At 39.1% G+C, this 25,398-nt stretch overlaps 1 long non-coding RNA gene and 1 pseudogene across 3 annotated transcripts in view, besides 1 other annotated feature; one reads left to right on the plus strand and one right to left on the minus strand.

Annotated features, from left to right (window-relative positions):
• The window catches only part of PDE4DIPP2 (PDE4DIP pseudogene 2), a 195,809-nt pseudogene that overhangs the window by 68,198 nt on the left and 102,213 nt on the right, over positions 1-25,398 (minus strand). For both annotated transcript variants that reach the window (NR_144517.1, NR_144516.1), the window contains 11 exons: positions 12,320-12,451; positions 11,148-11,267; positions 10,816-10,908; positions 10,464-10,676; positions 7,456-7,614; positions 6,442-6,555; positions 6,122-6,259; positions 5,192-5,371; positions 4,067-4,261; positions 746-910; positions 498-579 (listed from right to left, as the gene is read on the minus strand). The product of NR_144517.1 is annotated as a PDE4DIP pseudogene 2, transcript variant 2 (transcript). The remainder of the gene's footprint in view (positions 1-497; positions 580-745; positions 911-4,066; positions 4,262-5,191; positions 5,372-6,121; positions 6,260-6,441; positions 6,556-7,455; positions 7,615-10,463; positions 10,677-10,815; positions 10,909-11,147; positions 11,268-12,319; positions 12,452-25,398) is intronic.
• Positions 20,696-20,875: an enhancer, noted in NCBI's record as "active region_1601". NCBI's record gives its function as "activates an Ori minimal core promoter by ATAC-STARR-seq in GM12878 lymphoblastoid cells {active_cell/tissue: GM12878}" and the evidence as "EXISTENCE:reporter gene assay evidence [ECO:0000049][PMID:35858748]".
• Positions 20,860-23,442, plus strand: LOC107985524 (uncharacterized). Its single transcript, NR_168400.1, has 2 exons — positions 20,860-21,091; positions 22,750-23,442. It is a non-coding gene; the product is annotated as an uncharacterized LOC107985524 (long non-coding RNA).

Below are 25,398 nucleotides of genomic sequence, written 5' to 3' on the forward strand. Positions count from 1 at the left end.
ACCAGGGAGCTCTTTAGGATAATGGCTGATTCTGGGACTGAGGCAGGTAAAGCAAAAGGTAATCATAGAACATCTTATTGTGCCAGAAACTATCAAACTATGCTAACATTATATATATATATAACATTAGTAGGTGATGTCAAGTTACAGTGAGTGGCCCCAGACTTGAAACGATACCCAGGAAAAGGTGTCAGCTCATGGCCCTGCTGTGCAGGATTGGAACAATTACCTCCTGCATTTCTGAATCCCTGCAAAGCTATCTGAAAAGGAGAGTAAGGATAGAATTTCTCTGGGCCGAATTGTGAACCCAGAGCAATAACCTCAACTCAACATAAGGTAAGGACAGTTCTTCAGCCTTTCAGAGGAATTCCAAACTTATTTGTTCTATTAAGGTAGGAAGAGAAAAGAGTCTTGGCCAAACCTATAATACAGAGATTACTAGAAGAAAAAACAAGAGAAAAACAAAGTCCCTTAATGAAATGAAATTTGATACTTACCTAATGTGGATCTGGGTATGCTGACATCCTCTTTGGCAGTCAATGAAGTGCTATCATCTCTGGAAGGTATCTGCATTGAACCCTAAAAAATTGCAAAAGTCAGGGGACTTAGGAAGATGCAGGAACTATGATCACAATGACAGTACTGAGAATATTCTCAGAATTTGGTATTAAAATTATCAAACTTACACCTCAAATGTAAAAAGGAAATGGAATCAGCATGAATTATGTAAGTCTATAGTTCTTACTTGATCAGTCTGTTTTCCAAGACGGCCAGTGGGGGTAACTTCAGCTTGTTGGTTAGAGATGGGTGCTTGGGACATCAGGGAGTCTCTCCCTCCTAAATATTGGTGCAGGGCCTGTAATTCTGAATTTCTTTCCATTAAGGCTTGCACCAACTTCTCTGCAGCAGCCTAGTAAGAGGAAATCACAAATAACATTATAAAGATATTCTAGTAAAACAAATTTTTTGTTCTGGTATTATTTCTTCAAAGTCAACCATTTGTAAAAAACAAACAACAATGACAACAACAAAAAACAGTGGGTCCTTAGGAAATAGTTTCCTTGCTTTCAGTTTACAGGGAAAAACAGAGTTAAGTGAATGGAAAGAAAGTCTCATAGGCAGAATATTGGGAAAAAAAACTGAATTTAACACATCTGTAACAGATAAGAGAATCTGAAATAGGTTCTGCTACAACTATCAGGCTAAGGTGTTAAGATTCTGGTTTGAATTAGTATAACAAATGTCTTTATTCTCGGATAGTTGCTTCTTAGGGGTGGATTCCTTTTCACTCAAACATTTGTGTGGTTTGCTCCCTTCAGGTCTTTGCCAAATGTCACCTTATCAGGTTGGTCTTTCCTGCATATCCTATCCAAAACAGCAATCTTGCTGGCCAAAGTATAAGATGAATATGTTTTGGGGATCCAATGATAGCATGGTGACTTTAGTTAATAATACTGTATTATTTACTTGAAATTTGCTAAGAGAGTAGATCTTAAGTGGTTTCACCATACACGCATAAAATGTGTAGTGACGGATGTGTTAATTTGATTGTGGCAATCACTTCAAAATGTATATGTATATCAACACATCATGCTGTACACCTTGAGTATATACAATATTTGTCAATTATACTTTAATAAAGCTGGGAAAAAAATTTTTTTAAAACCCAGCAATCTCTTCTCTATCTCCAACACTTCTTACTGTGCTTAATTTTTTTTCGATGCACTTACCATTATCTAATAGATCTCTCTCTCTGCTTCCCCTACATGGAATGTAAGTTTCCTAAAGGCAATTTGGTGCTGAATCTCAAGCACCCAGTACGGTGTCTGGCACATAATAGGCACACACTACATATTTACTGAATGAATCAATTACGCACATAAACATGTTTATCAGACCACATGATTAGGATAATCTCAACCTCAAAATCACCCAACTCAGCTTGTTTCATTTCAAATCCCAGTTTTCTAAGACAGATGATGACACAATAAGGGAAAGATCTAGAACATTTTTAACTATTAATGCACAGGAAGTCTGCATTTAAACAGAAAATCTGGAAATAATAAATTGATATTAAAATTACTGAGGGTCTAAGATGATGAATCATAACACCAACTGTCTCTGAGGAAAAGTACTATTGTTTTAGGGCAGAAGCTGAGCTCTTGTCACAATTTCTAGGGGAAATACGAAAAAAACCTTCCACTTTTCAGTAAGTAAAATTTGGGCTCTTTGGAGATTTGAATATAACTATTTTAGACGTATCAGAATATTATTAAAGTACCTTAATAAAAATATCTGTGAAAACTGTGGGGAAAAAACATAATAAATAATATACAAGATATATACTGTGCTCTATCTGCCTTGGCACTCCTTTTCTCGTAGTATTTAAGAGTTTTTAGCAGTGCTCCTCCAATGCAGTCCACGAACCTGCAGCATCACTATCACCTGGAAACTTGTTAGAAATGCAAATTCTTAAGTCCCACCTATACCTCGTAATTTCTTTCTCTGGAGTTGAGCTCCACAATCTACATCTTTAAAAAGCTATTCAGGTGATTTCTTTTGCACGTAAATTTAGAGAAGCAGATCTAGAAGAATACAACCATTAATCTTCTTGAGTTGAAAAATCTCCTGTAATTTCCATCATCTCCATTATTCTATTACCAGCAGTGCATAATTTTTTTTTCTGAGGTATAATAAAGACCAATTGTCCCAAATCACAAAGAAGTTAAAAAGAAAACTCAAAGATCCTAGCCTCTTGCCAAAGATTTAAATAATTTAGAATAATTTTGTTAGGTCTATTTTAGAAACAATTTCTGAAGCACACAGCAGGACCTTTCTAGAAAGATGTGTATTTACTTCAGTGGGCCTAACAATTAGAATAGTGGAGTATAATCCTTTCACAACATAAGAAAACATAAGAAAATATTATGGGGTCAAATAACATAGGCAAAAAAGAGTCTATCTTCCTCTAAAAACTGACTACGGGGATTCTGAGCTACTGGTATCTGAAATGCAGCACAAGTCAACTAAGAGTTTTTAGCCTTGAGGAGAAAACACATAGAAATGAGGAAAAATTAACAATTTACTATGGGCAGGGCATGGTGGCTCACGCCTGTAATCCCAGCACTTTGGGAGGCCGAGATGGGTGGATCACTTGAGGCCAGGAATCGTAAGCCAGCCTGGCCAACATGGTGAAACCCCACCTCTACTAAAAATACAAAACTTAGCGGGCATGGTGGTGCATGCCTGTAATCCCAGCTACTTGGGAGGCTGAGGCAGAAGAATTGCTTGAACCCAGGAGGCAGAGGTTGCAGTGAGCCAAGATTGCGCCATCGCACTCCAGCTGGGTGACAGAGGGAGATGCCATCTCAAAAAAAAAAAAAAAAAAAGAATTTACTTCTTAAATATTGTGAAATTAATATACCCTGTACTATTATGAGATTGTTTATTCTCACCATGACCTCTGAAAAATGCGATCTTTTTTCCCTCTTAACTCAGATTTTACAAAAACTAAGAGTAAACATGTTGAGTGTAAGTTTTCCCATACCTTGACTGGAAATGCAAAATATTACTCAAGTCTTAACAATTTAGAATCAAAATCGAAACACTCACAACCCCTACTCCTTTCTCTCAAAATTATCAGATTATTAAGGAAAAGAAAATGTATGTAATGAAGTTAATGGATACATGTATTGTTTAGGCACCCTTCCAAATGCAAGGTTTTCAAGAAATGTGTCATACTTTGATGATTAATGTAAAACTGTGGTCTAAGGCCAGGCGCAGCAGCTCACACGTATAGTCCCAGCACTTTGGGAAGCCAAGGCAGGATGATTGCTTGAGCCCAGGAGTTTGAGACCAGCCTGTGCAACACAGCGAAACCCCCATCTCTAAATAAGTAAGTAAATAAATAAAACTGTGGTTTAGGTAATAAATAGAAGGAAAGAAACTAACAGAGTTGACGGTAAAATATATAAATATACACACATCTATAGTCTGCAAATGCTTCCTATTTGCAGACTATAAATGCACTACACGACACTTGTCTGATCTGTGCATTAATCCTTACTTGGCTTTCCTGCTCCCTGGTGCTCACAGACTGAAGCAGGCCTTGAATCTCCATTTCATGTTCCAGCACTTGTTTATTTCGATCACTTAGAAGGTCCTGCAGCATCCTTTCCTTTCACTGTAGACGCTGGCACAGCTCCTCTGCTATCTCACTCTGCCCTGGTCCAAGTTTGCAGAGCAATGTTGCACTAAGATCCTAATGCAGAAAGGACACTGTAAGCTTCTGGAGGAAAGAAATGCCTCTGCTAAATATCAAAGGGCTTATAAGAATCTATCATAGAAGAAGGAGGTGTGAGATTCTTGAGAATAAGTATCATGTTTTACTCATTTTTGTTTTACCAGATCTAGCATAGGCCTGCTACACAGAAGTCTCTAAATACATGTCCCAGGAATGAATACAAACCATACAGAAAACTATCTCTGGTGGCCACTTACATACATATTGTTTTCTGAAATAAGTCTTTTTCCTATTTGTTCAGGGCATGTAACAATTAATGTTAGATGAGGATAAATGGACACTCAGTTCATTTATTTGTTTTCTCCCCAGTGTAACTTAACAGGGGGAAGCATAAAACGATAAGCTGAAAGGAATACTAAACACTATATTTGCTATCATAGCGATGGTTTCTATTTCTGTACTAACTGATGGCACATGGTGGAGGAATGGAGCCATACTGCCTAGGTTGATACTGGATCTGCTACTTATTAGCTATGTTAGCTTGGACAAGTTACTTAGCTTCAGAAGTCTGTTTCCTCCTCTATAAAAAGGAATAATAGAAAGTGCCTCATGGACTTGTGAGGATCCAATGAGTTAATATCCATTAGGATCTTAAAACAGTACCTGACCCAGCATGAAGACTATAACTAATAAAGGTTAGCTATCATGTTAAAGATGCAATTTTTGGGTCTCATTAATTCTCACATAAGTTCTTTGAGAAAGTTAATTGCCAACTTAAGTTTCTAGACGTGGGGAAAAAAAAAATCCCAGTGAAAGTCAATGACTTGCCCAGGCACAGAATGAAATTAAAGACTTGGGTCACAGGCCTCCCGATCTGAAGAGTCCTAATCCAAGGCTGAGATTACATAATCACTGAACCAACTGCCTTAAAGTTAACTGAAGTCTTGCCTCCACTTCTTTGTTCCTATCATGAAGAGACGTCTGTAACTGCTGAATGATACTCTCTTGTTCCTTCTGCCAACGGCTAAATTTGGTTTCCATTTCTTCTTTCAGCCACTGGAGGTTTTGACAGGTAGTAGATAACTGTTCCACTTCCAGGCCTTTGGCCCTCAGGAGACTCTCCATAGTCTACAGCCATAAAGAGAGCAATAATCAGTCAAAATGATTACCCCATACTCCTCAGGATAAACAAGAAATTAGATCCACTTTTAAATAATCTCCCATCAATTTTTTTTTATTTGCAAGATGAGAACATTGATCTAACAATGCCATACTAATCTATTTTTTTTGGTTTTTAGAAACTTTTATCTAGTTTGTGGAGAGATTAAATATAGAATATATGATAAAAGGAAGTATTTTGGAGGAAGTGCACTATGCTATAAAGGATTTCTCGAAAAAGTGGCAGATAGATACATAAGCTCTAAAATAAATATGCAAAAAAGTCCACAGTAAATATAGATAAACAAGTGTTCTAATTATGGCAATTCATGGACATGTAGATAATATTAATGTAGAAGACACAATTTAATAATTGCACCCTGGTAATGCTTCAGTAAAAGTAAGAGAGAGAGAGAAGAGTGTGTGTGTATGTATACTTATGTATGAACAAGAATTGGAAATAAATCAGAACTATGTAAACAGAAATCAATATTTACTGGCTCTCCTCACAAAGTTCATATTACAAAAGAAAAGTAGAAGCGCTAAAATCTCTCACTTGCTAATTGACAATGATGGAACTAGTAACTGCTCTTTTTGGTTTTCTTCCCCCTTATAAAGCAAAATCCCTGGTTTTCAGAAAATGATGGAAGGGGGTCATGCTTCAGGCTCAGGATACAAGTGGGAGAGGAACACCAAGTCAGAGATAGGTTTTGCTCTTACTTGCATAGTAGCTTCATTGGAGGAGAGGACATCGCGCAGTCTCTCTAGGTCATGATCTCGCTCTCTCACAGCAAGACGAAGCTGGCGCAGTTCTTTTTCTTTCTCTTCTAGAGCAGAGAATTTTTCATCTATAGCCCGCTGCAAGGAAAGGAAGACTCCTAAAGCTCTGTAAGATTTACTATCCTGATCACTCTTATTCAACAAGATGGCAGAATAGAAAACCAAATCCCAAAGCAGCAAATTTAAGCAAACACAAATTTCTATAATACCTATGTAGATAGAATAATCCATAGCATAGTGGGCGAAATGATGATACATACCTCCAGAGCAACAGCTTTATCACGTATTCGCTGGCGAAGTTTCTCAAGCAACATTTCATTTGCTTCAAGGGTTTTGTCTGAGTTATCTCGATACTGTAGGAGCTCCCGAAATTCCTGAGACCAAAAATAGTTTCTTTTATTCTTTTATCCAATATTAACTAAATTACCAAGTAATTTGCTAGTTATTCAGGATAAAAAAAAAACAAGATGTGATCACTCTCCTCAAAAGTAACAAGTTTAGCAGAGATAACAGACATATAAACTGTAAACTATTCTGCAACATACAACAGACACAACACATAGAATTAACTGTTCTGCAACATACGCTAGCCACCAGGGGAACACAGGATGCACTGCCTAACTCTGCCTGAAGGTGTCAGTAAAGACCTCACAGAGGAGGTAATATTTGCAGTGAGTCTTAATTAAAGGACTAGGATTTCCTAAGTGAAGAAGGGAGAGGAGGATACGTTAGAGAAAAAAAAATATGCACACTATGCATACAATGAAAAAATTGTACATTCAGTGAAATGTAGTGGATTCAATGTGACTGAAGCTTAGAGTAGGTGGCAGAACAGATCAGTCTCTTCTTAATGCTCCATCTTCCCCTCAAACTTTTATTCTATCATCAAAATTACTCTGTGGAAGTTTCTGTACAGTTTGTCTTCATCTATTAAACTGAGATCAGTAGCCAAATCTTTTGTCTTCCCAACACCCAGAAAAGTGTTTGATTCACAGAGGTGCTTAATAACTATTTTCTGAATATTAAGTCTTTATAAAAGACTTCATAAAAGACTGCTTAAGTCAGGGCTATATGTACTGTTTCTTATACTTGTTAGTAAGCATCTTAATTCACAAATTATATTTTCTATTTATTTTAAATCCTCCTGATTCCCACCTCTCTCAATGTTTTCCATATGGCAGGGACTCAGCACAGGTGGATTAATATCTTAAAATTATATAAACAAATTTCAGAGTTCTATGAGCCCAGTTTTCATTGAAATCATGTAAACTCACCTGAAGCAACTGCTCCTTGTGACTCAGACTATGGTTTAGGTGCTGGATGTTTTGTTCCTGGGTTCGAATCTCATTGTATTTTTCAGCCTCCCAGGCACGAAGCTGTTGGCTCTTATTCTGCAATACTTCTTGTAGCTGCTGCAAGGCTTTTCGCAATTCCTGAATTAAACATATTACCTTTTTAAAGAGATCTAAAATTGTCACATGGTTATTAGATACAGAGGCCTTAAAATTTTCAAGGTATATAAACTGAAAGAGGAGTAGAGGGTGCCATTATTAAAATTGCTATAGAAGTATTATACATGAATTGAATAGGATATGGAAAATTGTAAAAGTTGTGAATGGGGTAGGAAGTAAGCTTGATATTATAGTTCAATACTTATTTTTTGGCTTAAAAAGAATACATCTATAGAACCATTAAGTGAGAATCTGTCCTACGGTAAACCTGGATTATTTACAATAAGCTCAAGGATAAACTATTCCTATCATCCTTTTTTCTAAAGATCTCATAGAGACCATCACTCTTCTTTCTTAGTTTGCCATAATTATTTTTCTAATAATAAAGTCAGTAATCTTTAAATCATCTGTTACTTTAGAAAGCTACCAAATACATATTCTCAACTAAACAAATCTTGGGGAAATGTTTCCTTTAGCTAAATAACAAAAAGTTAAGAATTATTTCTACCTCCATCCCTCCACCACTCCCCGACCCTGCCCAGACATCTGAAATTTTAATATTTCTTTTTTTTGAGATGGAGTCTCACTCTGTTGCCCATGCTGAAGTGCAGTGGTACAATCTCGGCTCACTGCAACCTCCGCCTTCCGGGTTCAAGCATTTCTGTGCCTCAGCCTCCCAAGTAGCTGGGATTAAAGGCTCCTGCCACCACACTGGGCTAATTTTTGTATTTTTAGTAGAGACGGGGTTTCACCATCTTGGCCAGGCTGGTCTTGAACTACTGACCACATGATCCACCCACCTCGGCCTCCCAAAGTGCTGGGATTACAGGCGTGAGCCACTGTGCCCAGCCAAAATTTTAATATTTCAAAAGGAAATTCAGGGCTAATATTTGATCTCCAAACCACTAAACCAGGGAGATCCTTCAAAAATTACTTTTAAACCTGAGTGTTAAAGAGCTTAAGAAGAGACCACACACAAAAAAATCTTTTAAATCTTAAACAAACACATACACTCTGACCTAACAAGATAAAGGAACCATTTAAGAGTTGTGTATTTTGGCCCAGCGTGGTGGCTCACGCCTGTAATCTCACCACTTTGGAAAGCCAAGGTGGGCAGATCACCAGAGGTCGGGAGTTTGAGACCAGCCTGACCAACATGGAGAAACCCTGTCTCTACTAAAAATACAAAATTAGCCAGGCATGGTGGCGCATGCCTGTAATCCCAGCTACCAGGAGGCTGAAGCAGGAGAATCGCTTGAACCCGGGAGGTGGAGGTTGCAGTGAGCCGAGATTGTGTCATTGCACTCCAGCCTGGGCAACAAGAGCAAAACTCTGTCTCAAAAAAAAAAAAAAAATGAAAGAAAGAAAGAAAAGAAAAGAAAGAGAGAGAGAGAAAGAAGGAAAGAAAGAGGCCGGGTGCAGTGGCTCACGCCTGTAATCTCAGCACTTTGGGAGGCTGAGGCGGGAGGATCACGAGGTCAGGACATCGAGACCATCCTGGCTAACACGATGAAACCCCGTCTCTACTAAAAATGCAAAAAAAATTAGCCGGGCATGGTGGTGGCCAGTGCCTGTAGTCCCAGCTACTTGGGAGGCTGAGGCAGGAGAATGGCGTGAACCCGAGAGGCGGAGCTTGCAGCGAGCCGAGATCGCACCACTGCACTCCAGCCTGGGCGACAGAGCGAGACTCTGTCTCAAAAAAAAAAAAAAAAAAAAAAAGAAGGAAAGAAAGAGAGAGGAAAGAAAGAAAGAAAAGAAAAGAAAAGAAAAGAATCGTATATTTATTATTCAAAAATAAAAAATAAAAAACAGGGCTGATTATTATGCATGTCATTCCTCTGACCTTAGTGGTTCTTCCCCACTTTTCTGCCTGGTTTTACCCATCCTTCAAGAATAACCTCAGATGTCTCCTCCTTCATGAAGTTTTCCTTGATTCCTTTTCCTTGACTCCTTTCCTAGATATTCCTGTAGGACCCCATATATACATCCCCTTCAGAATTTACCACACTGAAACTCAGCTTATGTGACTGTCTCTCTTACTGAACTATAAGTAACTTAAAAGAAAGGAGCCTGTGCTATTCATCCTTGTATTTCCAGGGCACAACTCAATACGGCAGTCGCCCCTTACCCACAGGGGATACATTCTAAGACGCCCAGTGGATGCCTGAAACCAGATAGCACTGAAGCCTGTGTATACTGTTTTTTCCTGTGCATAGATAACTATGATAAAGGTTTACATACAAATTACACGTACTGACAGATTAACAATAACAATAAAATAGAAGAATTATAACAACATGCTGTAACAAAAGTTACGTGAGGGAGGCCGAGGTGGGCAGATCACGAGGTCAGGAGATCGAGACCATCCTAACACGATGAAAACCTGTCTCTACCAAAAATACAAAAACAACATTAGCCAGGCATGGTGGCGGGCGCCTGTAGTCCCAGCTACTCTGGAGGCTGAAGTGGGAGAATGGCATGAATACAGGAGGCGGAGCTTGCAGTGAGCGGAGATCGCGCCACTGCACTCCAACTTTGGCGACAGAGCGAGACTCTGTCTCAAAAAAGAAAAGTTACGTGAATGTGGTCTCTCTTAAAATATCTTAATGTTTTTTGTCTGTGGTTGACCCCAGATAACTGAAACCATGGAAAGTGAAACTGTGGATAAAGAGGGACTACTGTAACTAGCATATGGTACAAGGGCAGCAAGTGTTGAACTGAAATACTTAGATTATGCAACTGACTCAAGGGTTCAACACAAACTGTCCTGCTAAAAAGTTATGATCAGGGCAAAGTCAGCATTTAGGGCAATAAAATAGTTAATGATTTACCTGGTTATGTTTCCAAGAAGCCTCTTTCTGCTGTTCACTCTCGTGTGCTGCAGCCTCTACAAATTGCACACATTGTTTGGCATCAGCCAGTTGGCGCTCTTTCTGTCGTACCACCCTCTGGAGCTTCTGTATTTCAAGTTGGCTGCAGAATAAAGCACTCTGAAGATCAAGCAGAGCTACCTGTTGCTGAGCTGGAGAAGTACCCTCTGAGCTCTGAAAAGAGAGTAGAAATCACAATCACAAGGAGGGCAAGCACTGAGCTCCCACAAAGACTGAAAATAAAATCAAGACTGCAACCAAAATGGCACATCCCCAACTGAAGTCTCTCCTGTCCTATGTGACCCTCACATACGTGAAGTTGTCCAAGCTGGCTTTGGTGCAGCATTTCTCGAAGCTTTGCCATTGTGTCATTTTGACCTTCAATTACCTGGTACAACTCCTCAGTCTGAAAATGAGAGAGGGAATATCAAATATGTTAGTAAACTAATTATAAATTCCATTATATCACCTGTACACATTTTAGTAACAGGACTATTCCAAAATATCAATTGAGATTAAGCTACAACTTCTCCAGGCTAAGACATGCTAGTCTGACAATATCCATTTTGACAAAATATAAAATACTTGTCTACTTTGAAGGGACCAATTGTTTCCACACAGGTCCTTGATTGGTAAATATGTTACCTCACGTTCCCTGCTTTTCAGAGTTTCCTTGAGGTTCTGAATTGTACCATCTTGCTTTTGAGACAACTCCTGAGCACACTTTAGTTCATAGCTCATTTCATTAAGTTTCTCTTGAAGAATCTGAATTCAGCAAAGAAAAACAGTTTTTTAGGTCAATGATGTCTTTTAGCCTCAAATGAATAAAGCCTTTCCTCAAATCTAGGATTTAAAGAATTTCTTAGGGGATATTACCTTGTTATTTTTCCTACATAGAGTAACCATTAAAGTGGTAAGTCAATCAGCAACAAAAAGTAGCAGGAGAAATGAAATACTTCCTTCAATACTAAATTGTCTCAATTTTCATGCACTGTGATCTCTCTATGATGGTAGCCATACTAGGAACTTGTCCACATGGACCAAGTAGGCAAGTGGTTTCTAATATGGATCCCTTATACAAGGACCAAAGAGCTTCTGCTATCTAGCATAGGAGAGGGCACTATAAGGGCACCCAGGCCACAAGTTCAGCATCCCAAATTGTAGCAATTTTCTTCTAAGCCAGACATTAAAATTCATGGGCTAGAAAGTAGTAACAAGTTAAGCTAAAATAAAAAACACAGACCTCCTATCTCAGTGCCTTTTACAGTGGAAGATTGCATGCAAGTGTTTTTTTGAGACAGAGTCTCTCTCTGTTGCCCAGGCCTGAGTGCAGTGGCATGGTCCTGGCTCACTGCAACATCCACCTCCTGGGTTCAAGCGATTGTCTTGCCTCAGCCTCCCAAGTAGGTGGGATTACAGGCGTCTGCCACAACGCCTGGCTAATTTTTTTTTTATTTTTTAGTAGAGACAGGGTTTCACCATGTTGGCCAGGCTGGTCTCGAACTCCTGACCTCGTGATCCTCCTGCCTTGGCCTCCCAAAGCACTGGCATTACAGGCATGAGCCACTGCGCCGGCCTGCATGCAAGTTTTAATTACACACCTGAAAAGCACCAGAAATTATGATCTGTATAGAACAAGCTAAAATCTTCATAAGAATAAAGGGAAGAACTACACTTTTACATGAAATATTCCCTAGAGCACAAGGAGTACACAGTATTCATCTCCCAAGTCCTACAAAGGTTGACAGACTCAGGCTAGAGCCAGTCACATCCTCAGGAAAACCTTGTCATCTCCTAGGGCATAGTACTAATCATACCTTGTTGGTGGCCTCTGTTTGCTGGATTTTTTCCTGGAGTTCTGCCAAGTGGGAATCAGATACAGACTGCTGAGTTATAGTGGTCTCATGTGAATTCAGCTTTTGTTGTTTCAGCAACTCTTCAGTCATGGGCTAGGAAGAAACGGCAAAACGAGTAAGGTGAGTTAAACATGGCCAACAAAATTTTTTTTTTGTCTTCAAAAATGTCTGTTGCATCTTTTGCCAGAGATTTAGAGAATCAGATTTGTTGCATAAATTATCAGTATGAATTCCTAAAGACAGGTCTGTTCCTTATTAAGAACACTGATTCACCTCCATTTGTACTATGCTCCCCAGCTTCCCTCTCCACTTTTCTGTACCAATTCACACAAACACTACATGTTTATTCAGCGAAAGCAAGTAATTCAGAGTTCAATGAGAAGGGGAGGATTTAATAAAGGAAATGCTTACAATGACCAAATATTTGCTTTATTCTATTTTTAATCAAGGAGTTGAAAAGGCATACTCATCAAACTTACACTTCCTGAGAGAAGTTACATTCCGGCTACCTTTCTTACAACATGCTTGTTTCACATTATTGGAAAAAATTGGCAGATTTTGATATGGATTATATATTAGGTAACAGTATTTTATCAATGTCTAATTTTCTAAATTTGATAGTTGTACTGTAATTATATAAGAGATGTCCTTGTCCTTAAGAAATAATGCTTAAGTATTTAGGGTAAAGGAGTATACTATCTACAACTAATTCTCAAATGGTTCAAGAATTTTTAAAAAATACTGTGCAAATACAGACAGTGGGAGAGTTTATAAAGCAAATGTGACAAAATATTTGCAACTGGTAAATCTGGGTAAAGGGTATATGGGAGTTCTTGGTATTTCTCTTATAACATCTCTGTACGTTTGAAATTATTTCAAAATAAAAAGAGAAAAATTAAAATAAATTTAAAATAGATGTGCCTAAAGGCAGATTTATAGCATAAGCACAGATAAATAATCCATAGTGAAATGGGAAAGAGATATATTTTATAGGAATATCAATTCACTTAAAAGATTCAGGAGAAAAAAGTATGATTTTATATATGGGATAATTTATATATGGAACAATGATTTATATATGGGACAATAAGATAAACTTATTGAACTATTCTTAGTAATCATTACAAGCTAAGGATGTTAAAATAAAACTACAAATTTACTGCGGCAATTAAATTTGATCTTCCCGCCTCCATACCTGCTTCCATTCCAATTAGGAATATAAACTCATTAAGAGAGAAAAGGCAACTGCTATTCATTTTTTGTTTCCCTCACACTTTCAGACTTGATTACCACCTTCAAGGCAGTGGAGTTACAGCTTACCTTAAATCCCTTCCTGCCAGCAACTGACTGGAAGCATAAAAATTGCAGAAGAAAAATCTCTTCTATTCCTCCAGTGCTATTTATCAACTTTTCTAACACCTACTAAATGCTATAATAAGCAAAGCACCATGTGAGGCACTGTGAGGAATACAATGCTGACATAACATATATCTGTTGCACACTAACTATGTGCTAGGCACTGTCTTGAAGATAGAGTATCATGCAAGACAAAGTCCCTGTGCTCTTGAAACTTATATTTTGCAGGGGTTGGAGTGGGGAGTACATGATAAACAAACAAGGAAATGCAAAAAATATTATGGACAAGCCCTGTGTGGCAAAACAGGAAAGCATAATACAGAGTGGGTGGTTAAATTACCCTAAATTGTTTGATCAGAGAAAGGTCTTTATGAGGCAGCATTTAAATAGATATCTGAAGGAAAAAGAATCAGTCCTGCAAAGATCAGCAGAACAATCCAGGCAGAAAGAACAGCTAATGGAATATGAGCCTGGAAAAGAGAAAGGCCTCTGTGGCTAGAATAGCACTCTCCAATAGAAATATAATGTGAGCCATGTATGTAATTTTTAATTTTCTAGTAGCTTCAATGAACAAAGTACAAAATAAATAGGTAAACTTAATTTTAACAAAATATTTTATTTAACCCAATATATCCAAAATGTTATCATAAACATGTAAATAATATAAAAATTATTAATGAGATAACATTATTATCTGAGATAATATTACATGATTTTTCATAAGTCTGAAATTCAAGGTATATTTTATACTCACAGCACATCTCAATTTGGACTAGCCACATTTCAAGGGTTCAACAGCTCCTAAGACTAGTGGCTAGCTTACTGGATAGCACAGGGCTAGAGCATAGTGGGCAAAGGGGACAGGGAAACTCAATGAGATGGAGAGGCAGGCAGGCACCAGGTCACATCCAGCTTCAGACAACAAAGTTAATGAACTGGATTTCATTTTAATTGAAATGAGAATAGACTGCAGTTTTTTAACAGGTAATCATACAGAAGTTTTGAAAAGATCATGCTATGGTGAATGAATTATTGGGGAGCACCAAGAGAAGCAGAGAGACCAGGTAGGAGGCTGCTGCGGTAGTGCAGGTGAAAGACAATAGTAGCTTGGATCCTGGTGGTTAGTAAAGGGAGGGGGAAATAAATGGATAGATATGGATATGTTTTGAAAGTATAGCTAACAGGACTTGCTGGTGGACTGGATAGAGGGAGAGGGAAAAAAGCAGCAAGGATAATGACTTCTGGAAAAATTATTTGAGATATTTGTTGTTGTGGGTATAACAGGAAGCCTTCACCTGAGGCAATATGAACTATGTCACACCATGGGCAAAGTAACCACATTAACAGATGTTTACAATGATTCTAACTAATAAATAAATTCATCATTTACTTAATGATAAAACCATCTCTATAAAATTTGGCTTCTTACTTCTTCAGCGTAAAACAACAGTAACACCTACAGTAAGATACTTTGAAATTCAAACTACAACAGGCAGAATTAAAGAAAATAGCTTCAAGTTTAAAATGGCAAGGAAGGTGGTCATATTTATTTACTTTAAACCAAACAATCTTACAGTGGTGAAGGAAACTTTATAAACTAACCATCTGATCCAATCCTATTTTACATACAAGGAAATGGAAACTTAGAGAAGTAATTAGTCCAAGGTTTCATGGGAAATCAGGAAAAAGATCCAATTAAACTGAACTGGATTTCCACTCAGGTTGGGAATGTATCTCTCATTTCTATAAACCCATTGCCTACCATAATGCCGGGAATACTGCAGAGATCAAAAGTTTTTGTTTAATGAACAAATAAGAACAATAAAAACAAACAAAAACGGGCCTTTAGTGGCTCTCTTAGAAATAAGACTGTATATAACATATATTCGAACAGCAACTTTAAAGCCAAAGAATGCCACAGGAAAATACATAATGTATTTGAATCTCATATGAATCAATCTTGACATGAATAATAATAAGAAACCTCTTTTTCTATAAATAATGTACTGACCTAAAAGTTGGAAGATATTTGTTTCTTCTTTATTTGTAATAATTTACTATTTTGCATCTCAGAAAAATGTCCTTGCAGGTAACAGTCTGCTGAAAGAGCACTTAGCAAGTCCCACTAAGCCAACAACATAATGAATTCTTGTGAAGTATCAAGTACATAAAACAGTCACTCCTACAATGATAGTGTAGCCCATGAAATAAGTAATACCTGATTTGGTAGAATCAGTGTTACTCTCTAGACACTCAGGTACTAAAATCATGTGGAAATGATAATATAATTTTAAATTAAGTCACTTTTGACTCAGAATTAGGACAAAGGCTTTCCAGTATCAGAAAAGAGAACCGCTTCCAGGCCTAGTGTTGCACAATATGAGACTTTTTTTTAGGCTAAGGCCAGTTTTTAGACTTTTTGTGTTAACAGCAGTTTTCTTGGCACTTTCTAGTCCTCACAGTAGTGAGTTATAGATCTCAAACTGCTATAATTGTCAACCCTATTGTTAATAATAGGAGACAGACAAGAACCATTGACTACCATAAAATTAAAGGCCTAATCTTTTACCAGCATCTAATGCCAACATCTTCCAAAGGGCCTGATCCACTTCACATAACTAAAATAAGAGTGGGATAAATTTACCATAGTCACAAAGGAGCAGACCTTGGCATTGCAAGGTTTAAGGCAAAGATCTTCTGTTCTTTGAATTTAGATAGAAAGGGAAATTGCACATGGGCCAGAGCTCATTGCTGTTTACTAAGGGACCACATCCCTCCCATCATAGCTTTTCTAGTTCAGGGCCAGACAATGAAGAAGGGAATTACCAGCTAGAAGAAGGCTTCAAACCTTTCTTTAGATATCTGAACAGCCTTAGGTCCTCATACATAAATTCTGTAGAAGGAAAATAAATTACTTTGTATAATATCAGAATATCAGTAAGCAGAACTACACTGTTGCTATTTTTCTTTAATAAATAAGAAAGGAACAAAGAAAAAGACGGAAAGAAGGAAAGAAAAAAAGAGGAAAAGCAATCAGGAGGAATCCTGATGTCAATATTTAATAGTGCATAAAATATGGTAAGTGGAGGATTAAACAAAGGAATCAAAATAACCTTACAGAACAATCTTGCTCTTTAAGATAAAAGGTTTTCTCCATATTTGTGGCAGAACTGAACTAAAGGAAACATTTTTTTCTTTCATGGTTTCGTGTTTCTACAAACTAAAAAAGAGAACTACCAAAAAAAATTACATTATTTCTATTCTTTCCATATTTGTTCAGAGAAATAGACAAAAACCAGTCTGCCATTGTCCCATCTAGCACTGGTTTTGTCATAAGGCTCTTAAGGAGCTTAAAAGTAACCAGATTTAAACAATAGATACACTGCCCATTTTATTTACAAACATGTTGGGCCCAATTCATCTATTTTCCCTGACATCCTAAATTATTAGAGAAAATGGCATAATAATTAAATGCCACATTTCTTGAAGCTGAATGACATTTTCTCCCACCTCCTAATTTTTGTTTTTCTAGAAACAGTAAACAATGTAAGTCAAGTCACAGCAGAAAGGTCATACACTACCATCTTAAAGCTCTAATGTCCAAATTTAGTGAAGTAAAGGGACTTGACCTAAAGATACAGTTACCATAGTTTATATGTGTTCATTCAGATGACAATTTTTTTCACATAATCTCTAAAGAATCCTCCGAGCATCCTTAGGTTAGAGAAAGAGGGCTCCTGGTTTAAAATAAGTACTTACTTAAATTAATATACTTCAGACAATGGGGTTTAATGTATAGAATTAAAGTGTCTTGCCTGAGAATGGTCAGAAATCTTTGTCTCTGCATGGGCTACGTTAGTTAAACAAGGAACTTTCTATATCTCCAAATTGAGAGACTGCCTGAAGATGATCTTTAAAATCCTTCTCCACTCCAAAATCCAGTCACCAAAATACAGTATTTTATTTAAATACGGAGAAAAAAAGATCTTGTTTTGGCTGTTATTTTCTCAGTCTTTATGTAACGTTCTACAATATTGGTCATATTTGGTGGCGGGCTGGGGGGACGAGTTTATTTCCCATCCATCCTGGCCCAACTAATTTTAGACCCTAATATGAAAACACCATGTTTAATTTGTAACACCTATGTCTAATCACAGAAATACTGTAAAGCCCAAATTTAGCTGCGAGGCTCCACTGAAAGAAAAAGCAAAAGAAAAGAAGTACACAGTGTTAAGCATACAGTGCTTAACATTTTATACAAAATGAAAATGCACTGACTTTTTACCTTTCATGACACTTTCATCTATGCTGTTTCTCATCTATGCTGCTTCTCATAATTTTGTGTAAATTTAAAAACTTTTCTCCTGTTTTCTGCTTAGGTTCTTATTGTGATAGACAGTATACATACCATAGAACTACTTTCCAAAAATTTCAAGTGGCCATCAACAATGTCACTTATCAAGCTCTAAATTTCTGGAATGACGTTGACCAGTAGCAGGCTTTCTAAAAAACGCCTTCTAGATCACATCTACCTTTGTGACAGTATTGTTAAATAAGTTGTATCAAGTGGAACATGCCAGAATGTTTCACAAAGTTTATTGAAGCTAGCATTTACTGTTGCTATAGAAACAAACTACCATAGTTGAATTTAAAAGGTTGGTACAGAATCAATTGGGCAGACACGAATAGCTCAAATTAAGCAATTAAGAATTCAAGACTGTAATGAATGAAACTCTCCTCTGATCCAATAATGGGTTAATCCTTTCTTAATATCAAATATCTTCCAGTAGAACTCAGTAGAGTTCTGGCTGTGAACAGTTTATGCCTTAACCTTTTGACTGACAATACTGTACTTGAATACTTGAATTCCTGTCTCTTTTATGAATGAGTCATCACTAATCCTCAAATGAACTATTAATTCTAATTAATATGGTCCAGATGTTATAATACTTTACTGGTGGATTAATAGGCTTTCCCCAAACCTTTTACCTTATGCTCTAATCATTTACAGGCATTTTGCGGATGAAGGCTTTAATGCTCCAGGAAGAACTAACTAGAGAACTAACTGCCTTACAGAAAACCATTGGGAGGAAACGTCTATAAATCTGAAAACAAGAACAAATCTTAAAAGTTGGAAAAAAAAAGAGGTAAGAGGAAAAGTTCTAGTGCCAGAAATGAGATTAAATGTCTTCTTTTTATAGGAAAAAAGTGAAGTAGGAATTTTTACCTTTTTGTTTTAAAAGGTATACAATTTTGATAATGGGAAAGCCAACAGATTTTACAAAAAGGATTGTGAAAATCAAATTGAGTGCAAATCACGTTTACTAAATGAGACATAGCAAAAGGTGCAGCAAAAATGGGGTCATGACTAATTTTCTCAAGTCCAGAATATTTCTAACCTCCACCTAGACCGAAATCACGTGAAGCCAGAGGCCAGCTAGCTATAATCAGAAAGGCACTATGTAGACGTTTTGTATACCTGGACCCGGAGAGGCAAATAATCTTCACAGAGATCATCCCACAGCTCCTGCAGGTCTGAAAGCTCCAAGGGATAACTCACAGGTGTCTTGTAAAGGGGTTTCAAAGACCTGTTAAGGAAACCGGAACTAACTCCATCTGTCATGCTAGGGCCAGGCTTGGCTCCAGGTAGGCTGGATTTCACTGGAATCGGAAGCCTGCTCCCTCGGGGGCTCTGGATGGGCTTATAATCAAGACCTTTAATCATGCTAAGAGCTAATTCCAGCTTGTGATTACACCCATGCTGCGGAGCCTGATCATCTGAACAACAGTCACACTTTCCAAGTTCCTTTGCACTTCTCTCAGTCTCCTCATCTTCCTGTTGTGGAGGGCTAGCCTGGACGCTTGCATCCAAAGATTCCACAGAGGAACCAGGCGTCTCTTCCTCCATGCTTTCTCCATCTGGGGGTACCTTTGTGCTTGCTAAGTCGGGTGGCCCAACCTCAGACAACGCTGGTTCTTCAGCGCAAATGCTGGTCGACCACCTGCTAGAAGGGCCGCAGGAGATACTTCTGGCCACCTTTCGAGGTACCTTACAAATGGCTTCATAGTCAGAATCAGCAACCCGCAAAGCGGCACAACCACGGCATCTCCTGGGTCGGTTTCCAGGGCCTTCTGAACCATGGCAGCTGTGTGGCTCCTGGATCTGATCCTCATTCTCCACCCAGCACTCAAACCCTGAATAGGCGAAGTCCTCCTGGAGCAGTGTAGAGTATCTCGCATCGGGTAAGACGGACATGTCAACCGTCCCATTCCCCGCCTTGATCTCCACGCCAGAGTCATCGTTATTCTTCCGATACATACTGGCAATGCAGAACTTGAGGCGATCCTTCTCCAGTTGCAGCTTTTGCAAGCGCTCAATAGAAAGCGCTTCAATCCGGGCAATAACTGTGTCGAATCGATAGATTCGATCAAGCATGAAAGCACACTTGCTGCAAGCGAACTCGGCTTTGCCATCGCGGGGGACATCCTTGCCCAAGACGTGCGAAAGCAGAACCTGGAGATTGAGCTTGGACGCCGTGTGGAAGATCCAGCGCCGCTGGTTTCCACACAGCTCTCGGGCACAGATCCTGCAAATCTCCTTCATCTTCCCTCCTAGCGGGTGGCAAGCTTCCCGAGGCGGCGGCGGCGGCGGCTACTGGGTGACCACTCAATGGCTCTTCGCCGCGCTCTGTCTCCCGCCTCGGTGGTCTCCGGTCAGCATGGCACAGCCCAGTGGGGTCCCCACTCTGCAGGGGCGCGCCCCTGTCCCGCGCGCCGACTCCGGGTACCAGAGCCGTCAGCCCCGCCCCTCGGGCAGGGGGCGGGCGTGGAAACGCCTAAGAGGATGCTGAGTGACAGAGGCGCAGGCCGCGCTCCGACCCTGCCATGTCTCTCCCCAGCTGTCTCTCCCGCCAGCCGCCGCGTCCTCAACGTCCTCCCCTTTTAGCAGACTGGGCTCCCGGAGCAGCAGCGGCCGGCCGCCCAGACGCAAAGCCTCGGGGATGGAGGATCAGATTTCAAGATGGCGCCAGCGGCTTCGCGTCTGCGGCCTCCACAAGGCTCTTCTGGGAGCTGTAGTCCGGTCAGCGGGCTTCCGGCTCTGCGCATGCGAGGTAGCCAGCGCGACCCTCGCCCCAAATCCGGTTGCACACCTGGCTCACGGCGAGTGCGGAGCAGAAAGCACTACTGGCGCGGGCCACAGCCAGCCGCTTTCATCTGCTAAGACCTCACCTGAAAGGCGCACCAGTGCCCTCAAGGATCCTCCCGCCTCTGCAGGATGTCGAGGCTCCTCCTCGCCGGGAGGAGAAAGCGGAATCCCCTCCCTGCATTCTCGGACAGTGCCACGTCCTCCGGCTGCCAGCGGGGCAGCGCCGCTAGGTACCGCTGCGCGCCGCCCCCGCTTCCCGCCAGCAGCCTCACCTTTCCCGGCCCCGCCCCGCCTGGGTTCTAAGGGCCTGAGGCTGCGAGGCAGGCGAGGGAAGGCTTGGTAACGGAGGGGCGGGGCCGTGCAACCCTTACCTCGACTCTGAACAGGAATGTCCAGAAAAGAGTAGAGGAGTGTTTCTCCCTTGATGTGGGTGGGGGAGGGTTAGTACCCGTGGGTGACTTGCCCTTCTTTAGATAAAAAAGCACAGAGCAGTCACCTAAGAGTCCGGCACATACAATGTGAATCTGGTTAACCAAGATCTTGAAGATAGTAGAAGAGAAATGGGCTTTTTTAAGGATGCAGCCAGCCGCGAGTAGATTACCACCATTGAAGTCCCTTTCCCTCAGGTAGAGGGCAGTCATTATTTTAGGACAGGGGACGGTAGACAAACACTAGCGCAAAAGACAGAGCTTCTTTCCGTAAGAGCTCGAGTGTCTGGGAATGCAGCTCGCGCCAGAAAGGACTGGGAACTTCACTGACTTCGGTGAAAACCATGTCTTACTCAGCATTGTACAGTGATAGGTCCTCCACCCTTGGGTCCAAAACTTAGATTGCACACAAAGAGGAGGGAAGCTGGAGCCCTGACTAGGTAGAATGCTGGTACCTCCGGCCATTTTTAATAAGGAATTATCTTCCTGGCTTGAGAGGCATTCAGACACGTAACAAGAGGAACAACCTCAGCAATCACTTGCAGTCCCCTAGAGCAGGACATTTCCCAGTTCTAATCATGCTAAATTTTTACTAACTTGACCTTGTAAGCTAAGGCCAGCAACATCTAAGTTTTTCTGAACCTCATCCCCAGGACAGAGTCCATAGTCCTAAGCCTGAAGACATCCAAATGCCATCTCTGAGAGTTCATAATAAGCCCCCAAACTTCTTATTGAAGACTAAATGAGATGATTTTGAGGAAATGCTTTAACCGTGTTTCGCTCATTAAATAATAGCTAATATTATTATTTTACTATGAATTGGAATATTTTCAGTAACTTTAAAACATTATGGGGCCCTGCCTACATAAGATTGTATTGTTCTCTTAATCACCAAAGCAAAATCTTGTAGCTCCATTGTAAGAGAAAAGGACAGTTCTTAGAGCTTTGGGCTTAGTAGGTGATATGATTTGAATATATGGCCCCACCAAATCTCATGTTGAATTGTAATCCCCAGTGTTGGAGGTGGGGCCTGGTGGGAGGTGTTTGGGGCGGTGCGGGGGGCAGATCCCTCATGGGTTTGTGCTACCTTTGCAATAGAGAGTGAGTTTTTCTGAGATCTGGTCATTTAAAAGTGTGTGGTGCCTCCACCGCTCCATCTTGCTCCTGCTCTGGCCATGTGACTTGTTTGCTCCCCCTTCACCTTCCTGAAGCCTCCCCAGAAGCCAAGCAGATACCAGCACCATGCTTCCTATAAAGCCTGCAGAACTGTGAGCCAATTAAACCTCTTTTCTTTATACATTACCTGGTCTCAAGTATGTATAGCAATGCAAGAATGGCCTAATATCAGGCTATAGAATTTTGCATATGTAATTTCATCTACTATGTATATTCTGTCTCAAAAACCAAGAATAGAAAAGCAGTTCAAGTAAAACCACAGCTGCATTTTTGCCTGCCTCTAGGTATGTGAGCTTCAAAGTTGGAAGAAATTAAGCAACATGCTTTGGAATCTATGGTGATCTATAGAAAGGCAAAGTTTCTGGACTCACCCTGACTGATGGAAAGACAGACTGCCTGCCAGGACACTACCCTGCTGTACCCAGTCTTAAGTATAATAAAGATCTCATTTTTTACTGTCAATGCAAGCCACATTTTCCTATTAGGAAAATGTGAATGAAACAAAGTGCTCTTCAAGAGCAAACCCTGAATTATACTTTGGGTTATTCTCTGTTCCTCAAAAGGATTTTGCATCTAACTGATAGTCTCCAAATTGTAATGACAGTATATAGATAGCTTGGTGTAGACATACAGGTCAATACAAATGGAGAAAAGGCAATTTGCCATTGAAGAATATGTTTGCTTTAAGTAAAGATCAATATACTAAGAAAGCTATACATATCTAGACTTCCAAAAACAGATGGGAATAAACTACTCAGCAATCAGAATATTCGAAGATGGCACTCTGTTCACTTCCAGAGAAAATAGTTCAAAACTGTATCTCAAAGTGGATATAAGCTATTGTACTAGAATTAGTCCCTGTGTGAGCATTTGGCATTATAAAATAAGATGTTCCCAATGAAAAGATCACTGGTATGTAGATAATAAAATGTGAAAATAAAAATTTAAAAATAAAACAAAAATTATGTGATAATAAATTTTGCACTCCTTGGTCCTTATCATTATTATCTTGTGGTCAAGAGTTTGCAGTTGAACTGGTTACCTATGGTGGGGCTATACAAGGACATTTACTTTTTATTCTACATACTGTGTATCATTTGAATTTTGGACAATGAATGTTTATTCAGGTATTAATTTTAGATTTTATTTAATTTAGAAAACATTTTATAGTTAAAATAAGGGCTGCCAATTTAACACACTAATGTCAGGGTCTAAGTGGTAAAACTTGAACCTAAAATAAGAATTTTTATACTACCTATGATAAATATATAATATAAGAAGATAACTTATATAAACAAAAGTTCAAAGGGGATCCACAAGTTATTAGTAATGGTTATGTCTAGAGAGTGGAATTATGGACATTTATTTTCTTTTTTCCTTATTTTCTATAATTTTTTACATTATGTATTACATACTTTAAATAACTTTAAGTACTTACTGCTTTTGTACTTAAGTATATAAAAAGAAAAAATATAATTGTTACTAAGAAAAAGGTAGATGAAACACATTTTGGTGTATTCATACAATACAATACAGTACTAGCCAGCGATCAAAAAGAATGAACTCAGATACATGCAACATGGATACATCTTGAAAACATTTTAAGTGAAACAAGCCATATGCAAATGAGTACATCCTGTGTGATTCCATTTATTTGAAGTCTGACAACAGGTCTACAGCCGTACTACCCTGAATGCACCTGATCTTGTCTGAAGTCTAATAACAGACTATAGGAAAAACAGATCTATTGTGATATAAGTCAGGAAGTGGTTGAACGGTGAGAGACAGGGTGAGAAGTGATTGCAAAGGGGCACAAAGAAATTTTCTGAGGTGATGAAGCTGTTCTGTATCTTGTTTTGGATGAAGATAACATAGGTGTATAGAATTGTTGAAGCTCATTGAACTGGGCACTTAGATCTGTAGATTGTATACATATTAGTATATTTCAATTAAAAAGATTAAAAGGAGTAAATAAATTAAAACTATGTGTTTCCCTCAAAATTTTAATTTGAGGGATTTCTTTGGTAGAAAGTCACCCGCACTTTAAGAACAGTTTTGAAAATTAGGGAAATGCTATAAAATATAGCCCAGAAGAAATTCTGTAAAAGACCCAATTGCAAATTAAAAACTTAAGCCTATCCATATGAGTTTTTTTTTTTTTTTTGAGACGGAGACTCACTGTGTCACCCAGGCTGGAGTGCAGTGGCACAATCTCGGCTCACTGCAACCTCTGCCTCCCGGGTTCCACTGCGCCCCACCTTAGGATAATATTTTATATGCATGTGTACACCAAACACTTATGATTGGAGCAAGGCATGTTGTTAAGGTGAGACTTAGGGCTTTTGTAATGATGTAGTATAAAATTATTACTTCTAAAACCTAGTGAAGGCACATAACGAAAAGTTTGAGAATAAGCTTCATATTATGATTAAACAAATTATTAATTTTATATATCAACAGTTCACCCTGAACATTGATTAATAAATACATTTACAAGCACTTACTTGCTTTATGGCCTAGGTTAAGTCACTTATATCTGGCTTTTAATTTCCTAATCTACAATGAAATATGTTGAATTTAAACAGCAGTTTTCAAACTTAAGCATGCATCAGAATCACCTGGAGGGCTTGTTAACATAAATTGTTGGGACCTACCCCCTTGAGTTTCTGACACAATAAGGTCTGGGGTGGGGCCCAAGAATTTGCATTCCTGACAAGTTCCCAGATCATGTTGATGCTGCTATCTGGGAATCACACTTTGAAAACCACTGAATGAGAACTATCCTAAGCTGTATCAGACAACAGATCAGAACTTCTGCAGATAGACAGAAAAGCACACCAATGAAGAACTACTTACAAAATCTATGTTGAATTTAGAGAACTGTATCCGCATGTGGAACAAGATTTCTAAATATTACTGTGGTATGGGGTGTT

Source organism: Homo sapiens, chromosome 1 (assembly GCF_000001405.40).
Source record: "Homo sapiens chromosome 1, GRCh38.p14 Primary Assembly".
Taxonomy (NCBI): Eukaryota; Metazoa; Chordata; class Mammalia; order Primates; family Hominidae; genus Homo; species Homo sapiens.